Here is a 16,967-nt window from a genome sequence, read left to right as displayed (position 1 = left end):
AGTGCTGGATACAGGTGTGAGCCACCGTGCCTGGCCCTCAATTGCCTCTTGAAAAGCCAAATTAATTCTGATAACATTTGACCAAAAATTATGCTACTTATATTAATACTGACAGAGCTGGAAAGTTATCTTACCAATTGTATACAAGCTAAATAAATTTCTTCACAGTCACACTGCAGAGCAAAAATATTTTGATGACAAACCTAGTAAGATGATGACAATTACATAATAATGTCAAGAAGGACAGAAACATAGCTTAATCTGGCCTTTTAATTTCATGGACGACGTGTCAAAGTAGGAACCAATTAAATAGAATATTTGGATGAGACACTACTATAATCAGGACTCCTAGGTTTTCAAAGTATACTCTAAGACCACTTTTAGATGCCTCCTACCACTAAACTAACACAGTCCATTCAAGTTTCCTCAACCAAACTTGGATATTCACCAACAAGTTCAGATCCTACCAACTGAGATCTTCAAACACCAAACACATATATAAGCCTCTGTACATGTTGTGAATGTTTAGTATAACAATAATGATTTCTTAATGCCATTAAGGCCAGAACCACATTTGTCTTGTTAATTACTGTATTGCTCAGTTATCTATTACAATGATTGGTACAAAGTAGAAGCTCAATAAATATTTGCTTGAGTTTTTGAAGGCTCACTAGTTTTCTGTGAAGATTTTCCAATTCGTCTATAAGTTGATCTCCCTTGGTATTAATGTTTATAATATGATGCCTAGAATTCTGCTCTGGGATGAATCATATACTTAATTGGTCACTCATTATATACAACACCAGTATTTACCTAACTGTGCTTCATTTATTTGTAAACTGCGGCCACAGAACATTGTATGAGGAACGTGGGGTCTTTTGCCCTGTTTAATTGGCTTGGGGACTAGAGAAATAAGGGGTATGCCATTTGTACAAAATGAAACTGCTAGCAAAGCATCTCTATGAGGATAGAGAAAAATTTTAATCTGCCTCAAAAACATCATGATAATTTCTCTTCTGGCTATTTCTGTTTGACCAAAAAGGAACCAGGAAGTATAATTTGCCAATTTTAAAATACATTTAAGCACAGTTCATCTTCTTACTGGCTATGAGAAATGGATTGGGATAACTTTACCTGTCAATAAGTGGGAAAATTTTGTTGTTTTTTCCTCAAATAGTCTAATGGATTGAAATGAGGTCATGTCCAGGCTCCTGCTGTCTATTTAAATGTTAAGAACTGCCTTCTATTTGTAGAGAGATACAGGAGGTGTAGTTCATTATGTTCCACCCGAGTCATTCCATAAGGAGTATAAAAGAGGATAAACTTCTTTTAAAATACAACTTCCGGCATAATTAATCCCAAAATTTATAGTGTATTCTTCCAGCATGTTCTCTTAGAACAGCAATGACATCAGAAGAGACAGGAAGGAAGACCAGCTTGCCAGGGGTTGCGGTGGTGGCAAAACAGCCTAAGGGAGGGCAGAGTGCACGTTTTACATCCTCATTCATTATAGGCCAGGACAAACATCACATTTTAAAGGACTCAACTCTGCTCCCACAAAATGTTTTTTTAATGGATGAGAATGATATAATGTTCTAAGGAAAACAACACTGAGGCATTCAAAAGTAATTTTCCTGTTTTTTGAGTCATTTTGATTGGATCACTTTAAATCTTTTGATTATTATTATCAATCATCGAATTGATTTGAATGCCTTACGATTTTAACAAAATTAGAAAATACTGCACTACCGTATCTCCCACCTTGAGTCTAACATGTACGGTGGGGGAAAGAGGGTGGTAATATTTTCTAATTTTGTTAAAGTTATAGGATCTTCTTAAATATTCAATCAAGTTCAAGTGACACTCTGTAATATCAGACTTTACATACAGCACTATGCCAGCCTATAGACCAGCCGAGTATAACCAAACCCTAGCCCAAAGGAGCATAAAAACTGCACCACTGAAATACCAAGTCAACTTTACTTAGCAGATGGTGAAATAATTCATTCTGGCAAAGATATTGCCCAAATTTTCATCCTAGCAATGCACCTTTATAATAGAAGTCAGTTAAAGAAAAACTGAATTTTATAATTTTTGTTAACAATGTACCTGTGTAACACAAATCAGCAGGAAAAAAAAATTGATCAAAAGATTTTTTTTTTTTCTAATTGAAAATGACTGGAATTTCAAGATGTTTCCTTGATCATGTAGAAAGGAGAATCTTACTTAGGCTTCTGTCTTAAAGAAGGCTAGAAAGATTTTTCAAAACAGTTTCAATTTTTTAATTCCCAGGATGTTTTACAAATATTAACAGAAAATCCACCCCCCTCCTCCCACCCCCAAAAAAGTTTGAATCATTGGCATGAAAGAGTTACTACTTCTGTTTTATATCTGGGAGAAAAGTGGCACCAACAACCCCAAAAACTGATGAAGAAAAATGTTTTTTGGTTATTAAAAGAACTTACTTCACATAGATACAAATAGGATGCTTTGCGAAAGACAAATGTTGCAAATGTCGCAATGTAAGGTCATTCCCAATCTGGCTGCAACCTACTCACTCAGCCTCATTTCCCACCCAACTGAGCAGACACTCAGCAGCCTCATTTTTCCAGCCTCTGTGCCTTTGCACATGGTGCTCCCACTACTGGCCATGTCATTCTTCCTCTTCTCACCTCATTGAAACTGTACTGCTCTCCAGGACCCCACTCCACTGTCACCTCAGGGTTTCCTTTCCTTGCACCACTCTCCTGTGTCCTTATTGTACTTGGTACACATCTCTTGCATGACATTTTTAACCTGACTCCTCCAATGGACTGAGCCTGCCAGGGCTAGGAGCTAATCTTTCCACACTCCTCAGCACGGGGCACAGTGTTGAGGAGCAACACTATTAGAAAAGGTATGTTCCTAAAGCCATACCAAAGTACTCCTATTAGATAGGTATGGTTATTAAAGTCATTTATAATAAGCAATTTCCATAAGGACACATAGCTGGTGAGTAAGAGGGTAGGGCCTGGAGCACCAGTTGTTCTAACTCCAAAGTCTGTGTTTTTAACCACTATGTCATCAGAAAAAAAAAAAATGACAAGAAAAAAATGTACAGACTATTAAATATATAAGGTAAATTATTTATTTCTCTCAATATTTATCTTTGGATATTTATGGCTTTTTACGTTATTATAATAATATACTGTTTCTTCTTTTGCTTAACATTATTTCATTTATATTTTCTTCAAATTTACATAGGCCATATCTGTCATCTTACAATGATATTCTACTTAATAAATTCATCATCACTGACTTAGCCACTTGCTACAAAGCTATCAGAGTTGAATGTAAAGAAGCTGGAAAAACATTCGCTGAATTTCCTATCCAAATATAACCACCATCTTGGTCAGACACATGGGCTCTTTGATATGAGATATGAAGAAGATATCCTCAGCTAGTTCGCTCAATTCAGCAGCAACATAATAAAGAAGAAAATGAAATGTAAGTTCTTTTTGCAACTGTAAGGCACTGAAACAAGTTTTAGAGATAAACTGAAAAATAAAAGAAGGTGATTTCTTCTAAGCAGTAGGAAGGTGAGTTTTTAGTTTTCTCATTTATAAGGAAGAAGGAAGCAATTCTAACTACCTAGACTGATAAAAAGGTAGGTGAACAATAATTTCTTTCCATTTTCAGATTGCAGCAACCTCAAGATATTTCATTTCTATAATGCATAACCATAAAAACTGAGGGAACCACAATCCAAGCTGATTGCTAAACAAAGTATTAAGATAGATCATGAGAATATGCATTAAAACACAGTCCTGAAGAACTGCTCTTCTGCCAGAGCTTAGTTATGGACGTGATTTTGTTTTTTGAAGTTAGTCTGTTCATGTTGTTATACTAAGAATCAGTTATTTTCCAAAGATTTAATTCTAGGGTGGGAAATAATTTCTTATCCAAAGCCACAGAATCTCAGAGAAAACAAAGGCTCTACGCAAAAACAGGAAATTATTTAGAATCATAGAGTGATATAATTTTAATAACTTGAAGGACATTTTAAGAAATTACATAACATTTACTAATTGATTTTAAAAATAGGTTATTGACCGGCCGGGCGTTGTGGCTCACACCTGTAATCCCAGCAGTTTGGGAGGCCAAGGCAGGCGGATCACCTGAGGTTGGGAGTTCAAGACTAGCCTGACCAACATAGAGAAACCCCGTCTCTAATAAAAATACAAAATTAGCTGGGCCTGGGGTGGCACATGCCTGTAATCCCAGCTTCTCGGGAGGCTGAGGCAGGAGAATCACTTGAACCTGGGAGGCGGATGTTGCAGTGAGCTGAGATCACGCCATTGTACTCCAGCCTGGGCAACAAAAGCAAAACTCCGTCTCAAAAAAACAAAAGGTATTGACCAATTTGCTTTTTACATGAAAAAAAAAAAAAAAACTGGAACCTAATACTTTATTCAGAAAATATAAGATATGCTAAAGCATATACTTCAGTTTTACATTATAATCAACAAAACTAACAACAGAGTTGGAGGGTAGAGGGTGTGCTTAAAAGAAGTAAGTGTAAAAGAAAAGAAAAAGAAATAAACAGAAGTCTTTTTGGCAAACTAAAGTACCAGAAGGTAAGGAAGAGGAAGATACAGAAAGGAGTTTAGGAACAAAAGCAAAAAAAAAGATAATAATAGTAATAATAATAAGGGGGCCTAAGAGAAACAAGAAGTACAAAGAGAAGAAATTTGGGTTAAATGAAATAAGGACTTTTGTCTTCCTCATCTCTGTGTCCCAATTCTTAGTCTAAACCTTAGCAACCGTCAATAAATGTTTACCACATAAAAGTTAAGGAAGATAAAGGGCTGAGAAGTTCAATGAGTAGAATTATTCTTCAAATCATATTTTACGGTTCCCGTAACCGTAAGTTCTCAAAATAAGCAACTTAATCTCATTTATTCTGTGAATGTAACCAAGTTAATTAGTCTCTTTGAATTACAGGTTCTTGATCTAAACAACAAACTGAACTAGATGATCTTTAGGGTCACTTCCTTATTCTTTGCAGTAATGGTGACCAAATATAGGTAAATGAAATCAAACGAAGGCTCTCAGCTTACACCTGGACTGCTTAAATGGAATCAGTGGTCAGTAGATGCAATTTATATTTTTTTGTACAACAAGAGCAAAAGTCACTTATTGTTCACATGACACAAGCTGCTGTCCAAAGAAACATCCAGATAGGTTTTAATGTTTCAGAAGAGCAATATTAGAAAGGATTTATAAGTATTTCTGCTCTAATTATTTCTCTGGCTAGGTGTAATCTTACTGACATTAAAAGGGTCTCTAACTCCATAGATTTCTGCATAAGTGATATAAATATTGGAACATTATACAAAATAATGAAGGATATAAACAAAATAGCATCACTATCACAATGCCATAACAAACTGAGGATACTGCTAAGGAAGAAAAACATGATTATTTTTGCATTTTGCAAAGTAACAGGATTCTCTTCAAGAAGTAGAGTGTTTTTTTAATAGGCGGAAAATCCTACTAGAAGTTATTTCTTCATTTTTAAATGACAAGAAAGCCTCAAATTATATAAAGCAAACAAGAAGAAAAAATATACTAAATGAAAACATAGCTTCATGAAATGAGAGCAGAAGTGGAGAGAGCTTCCTGGGTAAATATTTAAAAAATCTCACTGTGGTTAATAAAGGTAATAAAAGAATAACAGGAAGTGACACTAGGAAAATAGGGCAGGTTAATATTATTCAGAGATTGCTATAAAAGAGCACAGAAGAAACTGATCTTCCACAGTCACTTGAAGCTTGAACCTATGAGTCTCTTTTGTCATTATTTACACATATGAAAGTATTACTGCAGATCATCATATCATCACTCAGCATAGTTCAGAGTCAGAAGACTAGGAAAAGGAATGTTCTTTGCAGGTCAGGGTTTTGATGACTGGCAAAACACTAGGCAAGTTGCACTGCAGTTGTCTGAACCACACCCAGACTGCAGTTAAATATAGAATTTAGTTTCTGGAACTGTTAGTCTTAACCTTCACTGAAAAAATTAAAAGTAAAGAGGAGAAAGGAAAGAGACTGAAACCAAAGTCTATGTACTAATAAACTGTCCTGGGAAGAATTCCAAAATGCAGTGAAAACCAAGAAAATTAAATTACAGAAACCTCAAGCAATGTTCTAGAAATCGCTTTACAAGCTGATTTGTCTCTTCCATGCTAGTTCTCCCAGGATGTATAGCATCCTTGAATAAAATCCACTTGGTTACTAGAGATGCATGTCTCTAATTCAGATTTTATACATGTCAGGTTAACAGCAGTGACACCAAATTTAAAACTATGATATAATTTTGGTTCGTTATAGTATTGTGGTTGTGATGCTATTTTTGTTCATGAAGACACACTTTTATTCTAAGACCTCATTTTTAGATGCTTAAATTTGGGGGAAAGAGATACTCTCAAGCTAAAATTTTTAATGCTGATTCCTTGCCCGGGAGAATATTTTGGATTAATTTTTTAAAGCTGTTTTGGAGACTGACAGGGGTTAAAACAACAAAAACAAAATATTTTCTGTATAATTTCAGAGGGTTCTAGGCTTTACTAATGATTTTGTTTTATATTGCTCACTGAAGATGACCATGGACAGAATTTAATAACAAAAACACATTCAATATACTTATCCATAAGAAAAATAAAACACGCAATAGTTTTAATTACAAACACAAACAGAGATATTCATTTGCCTTCATTAGCATTTAATTTGCATGTTCCTGGATACACCCAAATACAGGGTCATCATTCAGCCACTTCGATTAAAAATTATAGCAATCAGTAACCTTTCCACACAAATTTGGCCCCCAAGCTGGTACTATTAACCACTATATTCTATTGCTTCTACCTATCACTGCTAGGTATTCTCACATTTATTCCTGCATCCAGTCAAAGCTTTTTTCCAAGTTGTTGCTTCTCTTTCCTTCTTGCTTAGTTGGGTTGAAAAACCTATAAGGAGATTTGGAGGCTTATTTTACCTTCCTCCCTTGAGACTAGAATAGGTGCAATAGCCAGGTCTTATTCTTTTGTGTCCCAGTCACATACACTAATGCTCCAGAGACACACCTGTTTCCAAAGATAAAGGAATATGTAGCCCAAAATGCTGAAAGATTAGTAAGGAAAGAGTACATTAGAAGTCACTCTCCTAGGCCATGAAGCCTTCAACACTTCTGACAAAAACCTTCTCTTCAGATCTACTCCTTTCACTCTTCTCACCCTTAAATGTATCTGTTCTTTCTATCCCTAGCACTTTGCCTCACAGCCCGTAAGTACTTCATTGAATGAATGAACAAATGGACAGTTAGGTTTGCAGAATCACGTTTGAGCATTGTAGAATCACATTATTTGCATATGCAGATATTTCAGACATACACTACAGATGACTTTTTTTCCCCTTGAGAATATGTAAACTACTTAAGGTAAGCCTAGGTTAGTGCTAACACACAGCAAATGCTTTATTAAAAAAAGAATAAATATTAGTCAATTATATATTTTATCCATTAAAATCTAGTCAGGTCCTCTTTAAAAACAACAAAATCCTTTTTAATTATAAAAATTTTAAACCCACACAAATATAATAAACCCACAACCCCCTACATACCAGCTTCAACAATTAACAACCATTTTGCCATTCTTGTTTCATCTTTTCCCTGTTATAATCCCCATATGCTCTTAAACAAATGGAAGGTTGTAACATATATTAATCTAGGGACATCAGACTTTAGAGTTAACGAAGCCCAAGTCCACAAATTAAAAACCATCAGTATATACCCAAATTAAAATAACATTCTTCTTAGTTAATAAGAACTCAAATCTGTGAATAGCACTGGCTAAACATCCACATGTGACTGGGACACTTGTTAGCTCTGTGGTCTTAGGAAGTTAGTTATTCAACCTCTTTGAGCCTTGACTGCCTCATTAGAAAAAGGAAAAACCAGGCCTGCAGTGAGGATTAAATATGGAGGGTAAGTATATGTGAAGCTTCTAACAGTGCACTGAATAAATGCCTTTTTTTAAAGCAGCTTGATATAATTCATATATCAAAAACTTCACTTATTTAAGGCATACAATTTAATAGTTTTCAGCATATTCACAAAGTTGTACAAGCACCTCCACAACTGATTTTACAAATCTTCATCACCCCAAAAAGAAACACATACCCCTTAGCCATCACATCCCCCACCCAACACCCCTATCCTCCCCTAGCCCTAGGTAACACATTTATCTACTTTCTGTCTCTATAGGTTTGCCTACTCCAGATACTTCATATAAATGGAATCACACAATATTGTCCTTTGTGACAATAAATGTTTTTGGAATTGGATATTTTAGAAGTCAAATATGTGGAATACACAGTGGAATGAGGTCAGAGAAGGAGAAAATGCACATATATATGAATGATGCACCAAGACACACGCTAGGAAATATACATATCATTGAAGTGCTCTGGGTATGTTAAGAGGCAGGAAAACTGTGTGTGTGTGTGTGTGTGTGTGTGTGTGTGTGTGTGTACATGGTAGCAAGTAGGTAGTTTGTGGACAGTCTCCTCTGATTGCTTGATTTTCCTCATTTCCGTTCATGATGAGCAAGGTCATCATAAGAGAATGAGGATGGGGAGTTTGCACAGAGAGAAGAAAGTGTGAAATAATCTTACAGGAGAGTGGGAAAAAATAAACCAGAAAGGTATAGTATTAATTCTGCTTGGCAGAATTAAAGACCCACTTGAGGTTAGCGGTCATGAATTTAAAATGAGATCAGTCAGCAGGGTTTTAAGTTTTTCTCCAGCCACATTTCGCTGCAAAAATGCAGGAACTGTATAAATGGATATATTTAACCAGAGTTTATTCACACTCATGGCTTTAACTGTACCTAATATATTGATGACTCCCAAATCTCCATTTCTAGTGCCACTGAACTCTCTAACACAGAAATCTTGAGGTGACTTCACAGTCAAAGCATTAAACTAGAAGAAGCTTAGATGGAAAAAGAACACTGGTCTAACAATGGTTATGAGAAAGGCATTCTACTGTGTGATTTGCACATATTATCTCAAATAATTCTCATAACTCTTCTCATAATAACCATCTCCACTTTATAGAAAGCTGAAATTCCCACAGATTAACATAAAGTGAAGCTGTGACTAATTCCTAAGTCTGTGTGGCTCTGAAGTCTGTCTTTTTACTTCATCATGATATTTAACTCTTCATAAATGTGGCACCTGGGGCCCAGAGATGCTGAATGATTTGCCCAAAGTGAAAGCATTTTCTAATGGCAGGTACTGTCTCCCAGAGGCTCTCTGACTATCACTATGCTCAACTCTTACATATTTCCTGCTTTGTCATTCAATGTGTGACTAGGTTAGATTGTTTTTCTTCCATTTTTTTTCTGATATCTATCACTTTTTATCCATTTTCTATCCTTTTGCTTTTACAATATAGCTTAGACCCTCAGCAGTCATGCATAGGTTACTCTAATAGCTTCCTAAGCTGGCCTCCATCTATTCCTCCTCTACTCCAGTGTTCTCCAACCTTTTTGGCACCAGAGGCCAGTTTCGTGGAAGACAATTTTTCCACCGACGGGGTGGGGGGTAGGGAGGGTGGTTTAGGGATGAAAATGAAGAGTTCGAGCTCCTATGAGAATCTAATGCTGCTGCTGATCTCACAGCAGGTGGAGCTCAGGCAGTAATGCTTGCTCTGCTGCCACTTGCCTCCTACTGTGTGGAGGTCCACAGCCCAGGGGTTAGGGACCCCTGCTCTAATCCATTTGCATATGGGTTAGTCACTTCCTTTCTCTGAGGCTCTTATATATAAACTGCAAATAATAACATACCTACAGTATAGAATTGTGAAGATTAAATAAAAATAATTTCGTATAATTATCAATAAAATCAGTAACTGTATAGTAATTAAATTCCTATTCAAATGTAAGCTATTACTGCCTTAAGATTTATGAAGGCAGATATTATAACTTAAATATATTTTACATTTTATTTTACATTTATTTCCCCCTGATTATATGCATGTAGTATGTGTTAAAATACATACTTGATTGATTTCTTGTCCATTATCCACACTCCTACCGCTATTATCTAACAGACCAATCTAATCAGATACATCTCCTACATAAGGCCCGAATGCCAACACTTACGGTATAATTAACCACGGTGCTTGTTTAATTATAGAATGCACAGTATAACCAAGTTCTGAATAATCAAAGTAAGAATGCTCCTAACATTATAATGCCTTTTCTCAGATTCTCTAACTCATGAACTCCTATCCCTCATCTGAATGCACCCAAAATGTTACCACTTTGGTGTAGTTTTCCTCTTTTCTCTACATGCTCCTTTTGTCATAATAGCATTCACTTCTCAGTTCCATAATTACTTACATGTTAGCTCCCTCCCTGCTGCCACACATTTGTGAGGGAGTACATTTCAGGGTAACCAAATTGTTGATGAGGGAAAGTTCTTTACAGAAGAATTCCAGCTGATTAATGTACAAGAAATAAATTTCAATACAACAACTTGTGACTCCTTATGGAAAAATGATTGGGAAACAATCGTCGATAGATAACAAAACAGTGATTCTCAGTCCAGCCTACACTTCAGAATCACTTGGAAACTTTTCAAAATATATCTCTGCCTAGGCTCTACACCCAGAGATTAAGATTCAGTCCATCAGGGGTGAAGCCCCCTGATAGTTTTAAAAGCTCCTCGGGTGATCCTAATATGCATCCAGATTTAATAATCAATGCTCTAAAACTATTAGGTAGATGGTTAATAGGGGATTTTTTAATAAGTGAATCAAGAAGGTAACACTGAATTCACTGATCAATCTTATGGTTACTAAAATTGGGGCTGTAGCGGTGGATCACACCTATAATCCCAGGACTGTAGGAGACTGAGGCAGGTGGATCTCTTGAGCCCAGGAGTTCAATACCAGCCTAGGCAACATGGCAAAACTCTGTCTCTACAAAAATATAAAAATTAGCCAGGCATGGTGGCACATGCCTGTAGTCCCAGCTACTCAGGAGGCTGAGATGGGAGAAAGACCTGAGCCCAGGAGGTTGAGGCTGTGGTGAGCTATGATCATGCCACTGAACTCCAGCCTGGGCAACAGAGCAAGACCCTGTCTCAAAAAGGGAAGGGAGCTGATAAACATGTTCTAAAATTGACTGAGGTTATGGTTGCATAATTCTGTGAATATACTAAAAAGCATTAAATTGTACACTTTAAATAGATGAATTGTATCTCATTAAGGCTGTTTTTTTTAAATCAAGATAAATTTCTATCTCTATGCAAACATACAGAAGACTACAGTATTTTATTTAAATCTTTTGATTTTATATTTCTCTTTTCCTTTGCACTGACAATCTTGGTTCCTAATAACTCTAATATGACTATTTGTTTTATCTGTACCTACATCTATATCTATACCTATCTAGCTATGTAAATAAAAATAGTACCTGAATAGCAGTATCTATAATACCAAATTTAGTAGAAACAGTGTAAGATTTTTTTGGTGTTTCTTTTTATTCTTAAGCTGTTTCCCACTTGGGAAGTATAGGAAATTACTGTGTTATAAACACATTTGAGATAATTCTTGGGTGTTTAAGGCACTATTTTGATATACAGGTTTAATTTTAGTTATTTTTTAAAGGTCACCTCCCCCCCTCCCCCCCATTTTTTCCCTGATTTTAAATTTTGATATATAATTACGTAATTTAGTTACAGGTCAAAACAAAGTATTTTCCGAGAAATCTAGCTTCTACCTCTCTTCTAAGTTGTTTCTCTTTTATTGATAACCATTTATTTTATGGTTTATTCCTCCATTTTAAAATAAGTTATAAGCAAATACATAAATGACAGCTTTGTATTATATACAGTTGATTCTGCCTTGTTTTAAACTTAATGTTATATCCTGGAGATCACTGTATACAGAGTTTTTTGTTCTTTAGCTGCATAGTACTCCACTACATGGGTTTCAACATCCAATACATGGATGTGCTATAATTTATTGACATAGTTACTACAAATAGACATTTAGGTCATCTTCTGTATTTTGAAATTAGTAAAAACAGTGCTGTTATCTTTTCATATTTTTGCCAGTATATCTTTAAGATTCTTCTTTTTCTTCTTGAGATAGGGTCTTTCTCTGTCACCCAGACTGAAGTGCAGTAGTGTGATCATAGCTCACTGCAGCTTCAAACTCCTGGGCTCAAGCAATCCTCCTGCCTCAGCCTCCCGAGTGGCTGGGACTACAGGCATGCCCTACCACGCCTTGCTAATTTTTTGTATTTTTTATAGAGATGGGGTCTCACTATGTTGCCTAGGCTAGTCTCAAACTCCTGGCCTCAAGTGGTTCTTTCACCTCAGCCCTCCCAAAAGGTTGGGATTTACAGGTGTGACCCACTGGCCCTAAGATAATTTTCTAGAAGTAGGAATGTCAAGTCAAAGGGTAAACTCATAGGTAATTTTCCTTGATATTGCCGAATTCCCTTCCATTAAGTTGTTTCATTTTGCATTTCTACAAGTAACGTATGAGAGTGTCTGTTTCTCTACAGCCCAATCAATATAAAATGTTGCCAAACTTTTGGATTTTTGTCAATGTAATAAGTGAAGAATAGTATCTCAATGTAGTTTTAATTTGAATTTCTCTTACTATCAATTAGATTGAGCATTTTTTTTTTTTTTTTTGAGACGGAGTCTCGCTCTGTCACCCAGGCTCGAGTGCAGTGGCACGATCTCGGCTCACCGCAAGCTCTGCCTCCTGGGTTCATGCCATTCTCCTGCCTCAGCCTCCCGAGTAGCTGGGACTACAGGTGCCCGCCACCACGCCCGGCTAATTTTTTTTTTTCTATTTTTCGTAGAGACAGGGTTTCACTGTGTTAGCCAGGATGCTCTCGATCTCCTGGCCTCGTGATCCGCCCGCCTCGGCCTCCCAAAGTGCTGGGATTACAGACATGAGCCACCGCGCCTGGCCGATTGAGCATATTTTCATATGTTCAAGGACCATTTGCATTTTTTCTCCTATCTTTAGCCCAATAAAGATAGAGTTATTGGTCTTTTAAGAGCTCTTTATTAGGGATAATAAAAGTTGCAATTTTTTTTTCCAATTTGTCTTTTACTTTGCTCAGCTTTTACTCCCTCCAAAGTTTTTCTTTTAATTTATGTAATCATATTTATCAATCTTTTCCTTTATTGTTTTTAGATTTTGGGTCATGGTTAGGAAATATTTTTCCCATTGCCAGGATATGAAGGGACCACTCATGTTTTCTTCTATTATTTATATGGATTCACTTCTTTGACTCATTTGAAATTTATCTTGATGTATGAAGAATGGAATAATTTTTTACTTTTTTAAAATTTCATTTTAATTTTTGAGATAGGATCTTACTATGTCGCCCAGGTTGGGGTGCAGTGGTGCAATCATAGCTCACTGTAACCTCAAACTCCTGGGCTCAAGCAATCCTCTCATGTCAGCCTCCTGAGTAGCTAGGAATGCAAGTGTATGCCACCACGCCCAGATATTTTTTGAATTTTTTGTAGAGATGGGGTTTTGCTATGTTGCCCAGGCTGGTCTCAAACTCTTGGCCTCAAGTGATCCTTCTGCCTTGGCCTCCCAAAGCTGAAATTATAGGTGTGAACCACCATGTCCAGCCTTACTTTTATCTTATACCAACATTTGAGTAAGGCTTACTTTGCTGGTTTTACAGTCTATGCATATGTATTTATTTACCCATGCAGTCAAGGAAAAAAATATGCGTCATACTAAGGATAGGAATTTTATATGTCATTTTGGATAACAAAAAGTTCCATTTTTACAGAACAAAAATCATACTGTGTGACCTTCTGTACTATTAAGTATTTTGAAAGGCTTTCTGTGCTTTTGCAACTATTGGCATAAACCACATCCTCTTTCTAGTTGTGCCAGGTAACATAAAATTAAGCCAAAGATAACCAACTCCTGGATTAGATAAAGCCATTTATTAATTAAAATTAATGTTAAAAAACATAAATTAAGACTAAATAGGAGTCATAGGGTAAATGCTCAATATCTTTTTAATTAAAATTCCGTGTGATTCTGTGACTAATTCTTGCTGCCAAGGAAAATAAGAATCCCTAAGTCTCTGAGGTTCAACTCTGAAAGTACATTAGGAATATCACCTATTGATATTAATGTCATCAATTTTTAACTTAATTCTTTCTCATGATGACATTTTGTGATAAATATATACTGGTATTTTCATGAAAAAAACTAACTGGCTAAGTCACTAGCACAATTAGAACTTAGCACCAGGTAGAAACTAATACCTAAAGGAAAATGTACAATGTTGCAATTTAAGTTAGACATTATTTTAATTCTCATCTGCTGTGTGCCAAGTTCTAAAGAAATTTTCAAAAAGAATAAAAATTTCTAGATGAGAAAAGCAGAGCAGATTGTAAATGTCAGGTCTCCAGGACAATAATGTCTCATTCTTTCACTTTAATGACTCAAGCATATAAGGATTCATTATTCAATAAATGGCTTCTGCTCTTATCTATAATAAAGAGAGCAAGGAAAGGAATAGATGACAACATCAGTGGATAACCTATAGTCTCATTTTGGATACTGGATCTCACCTTCACCTTAAGCAAACCTATTAATTTCAACTATATCACATGAACAAAAACATCTGAATTTCGGCATTTTAAATCTCCCTCTCTTTCAGGTAGTGAAGTTCATGAGCTGGGAAATAATCAGAAAGTAGCAGGATGAGAGATGGCAAAAGTCTTAGATGACATATTGGCTATCAAAAAATTTCATTTTAGACATGAAGTTACAGCTGAGAGTTTGTGACCTAAACAAAGTTAGTTGGGTATAGGTCTTCTGACTCTGAGTCCAGTGCTCTGTCCAATATACCAATTCTACTAGTCAGGTCAGATAAGAAAAATGTACAGCTGGAACATTATTACCTAATTGCATATAAACAAAATTCCATTGAAACAAAATTCTGTAAACATCACTTACAAGTAGATGACTAAAAAGATAATTCTACTATAGGATCTATGCTAAGTATGCCAAACATTTCACAATCATAATTAATTTATACCATTTCAGATAGGAAAATTGAAGCTACGGTCAAATTCAGGTTAAAAAAAAAACCACTGAGTGCCTACTATGGATCAGGTACTGGTGACAGAATGAGAGGATAAATTACTAAAACAAAGTCAAAAATAAGTATTTTTAACCTTTGGGACAAAGCTTACTTAGACCATACTCCTTATTAAAGGAAAGTTAAATCTCAGTAGTCTCCTATACAATTATTCATTATTTTTGATGAAAAGAAGACTTCAAAGAGTTTTTCCAAAATATAATACAAAGATCTGAATTCAAAAAATATTTATTCCAACATTTCTTAAATTACTGGGGACACTATTATAAGTAAAATAAATTGACAGATGCTAACTCCAGCTTTATGAATTCTCAATGCTAAGATGACCTTATTTCTATAATACAGCATTTATGATATTCTAAAGTACTTTTAGAGATAGAACCAAGATACCAAGTTACTTGTTTGAAATGAAAACTGTCCCAGTCTATCCAGAGTTGATGTCTTCCCTAAGTTTGGGAGATCATTCGTAGAAAAAGGAGACACATACCTTTCCATAACAGCCAGGCACTCCTTTCTCCAGGTAAATCGACTCCCTCGTCGCAGTCGGAAAGTACCAGATGTGGCAGAGACTGGGGGAGGCGTTTGTCTCCATTCAGGGTCCTCTATTGGAATGGGGGCTGGTCTCATACTTAGTGTAGCGCCTGAAATAAACAAGACACTTTTAGCAAATATCTTGCAGTTTATTTAAAACAATATAACATCTACTTCCTATGGGACTAGGGAAGTATGGTCTTTGGCTTAGTGACAACTTAATCAATGTATCTTTCTCTGAAAAATTTCTTTTGAAATTCCTGCTTGATAGTTATACTCTTTTTGAACAATATACCTCAGATGTTCAGAATCTTTTACTAACCATTCAAATAAGTTATAAGCTTAAGGAATTTATGCAGGTAGGAGACAAACTTAAAATAACCCTAATTCTTGTAAACTCTTTTCTTTTTTAAAGAGTGAAATACAGCATGAAAGAAAATAAGATGATATTTGATATGCTTTTTGTCTACTAACTAAATCAGGTCTCCATAGGTCTACCTGTTGATGCTATACTAGATTCTGTTACCTCCTGAACATAATAAAATTTCAATGAAAAATATCTATAATTGAGACATTTTACTAATTCAGATTACTCTTTTCTCAAATAGCTTGAACTGCCAATGATGCATTTATTCATTCATTCACTATTTAACAAATCCCTTTCAAGTGGCTTGCTCTAGGCTAGAAGCTAAGAATAAAACCAGGAAAGCAACATTGTCTGTGACCTCCATGAACTTATTTCATAGACTTTCAATGTAACTTGGTATGCTTTCATAGAGTTCAGTCCCTGGCTACCCCACTCTTCTTTCACTCCTTACACTGTTAAATTCATCTTCCCAAAACATAATTATGATCATATCGGTCTTCTAATCAAAAACCTTCAAAAAATTCTCTCTGCCTGTAGTTTAATTCAAATGCTTAACACAGGTGTAGAAAGACATGTTAGAACATGTAGGTTTATGCAATATTAATAAATATGTTAATTCTATGTTAATGATATTAATATTTATTTCTTCCTAATAGAATTAATACTCTCTTTATTGTACCTTGCAAATAATACCATGGATAGCATTTCTACTTCAAGACTTACAGATCTATTGTAGATCCCCTTCTTAATAGCTACATCTTTAGATGTATTCTCTTACACAGATGTCCAAAATGTTAATCAATCCTGATTTTGCTTTTCAAACCTATTGTCCTGCAGTCTTTCCCATCTCAGTAAATA

At 35.6% G+C, this 16,967-nt stretch overlaps 1 protein-coding gene and 1 long non-coding RNA gene across 35 annotated transcripts in view; one reads left to right on the top strand and one right to left on the bottom strand.

The window, feature by feature from the left end:
* HMBOX1 (homeobox containing 1) overlaps positions 1–16,967 on the bottom strand; it is a 163,155-nt gene that overhangs the window by 18,659 nt on the left and 127,529 nt on the right. For all 33 annotated transcript variants that reach the window (NR_136758.2, NR_136757.2, XM_047422223.1 and 30 more), the window contains one exon: positions 15,699–15,852. Coding sequence is in view for 31 of the 33 variants with exons in the window: in XM_047422223.1 (XP_047278179.1) it covers positions 15,699–15,852 (154 nt within the window). In the remaining 2 variants the exon portion in view is untranslated. The remainder of the gene's footprint in view (positions 1–15,698; positions 15,853–16,967) is intronic.
* LOC105379346 (uncharacterized) overlaps positions 1–16,967 on the top strand; it is a 28,066-nt gene that overhangs the window by 8,489 nt on the left and 2,610 nt on the right. Inside the window, exon 2 of one of the 2 annotated variants that reach the window (XR_001745858.2) lies at positions 3,244–3,486. This is a non-coding gene — a long non-coding RNA (uncharacterized LOC105379346). Of the gene's footprint in view, positions 1–3,243; positions 15,700–16,967 lie in introns of those variants that run through there. The other variant, XR_007060871.1, reaches the window with a different exon arrangement.

This window comes from Homo sapiens, chromosome 8, assembly GCF_000001405.40.
Source record: "Homo sapiens chromosome 8, GRCh38.p14 Primary Assembly".
Lineage (NCBI taxonomy): Eukaryota > Metazoa > Chordata > Mammalia > Primates > Hominidae > Homo > Homo sapiens.
Note: the sequence above shows the minus strand (reverse complement) of the source record. Positions and strands in the feature narration are given on the sequence as shown.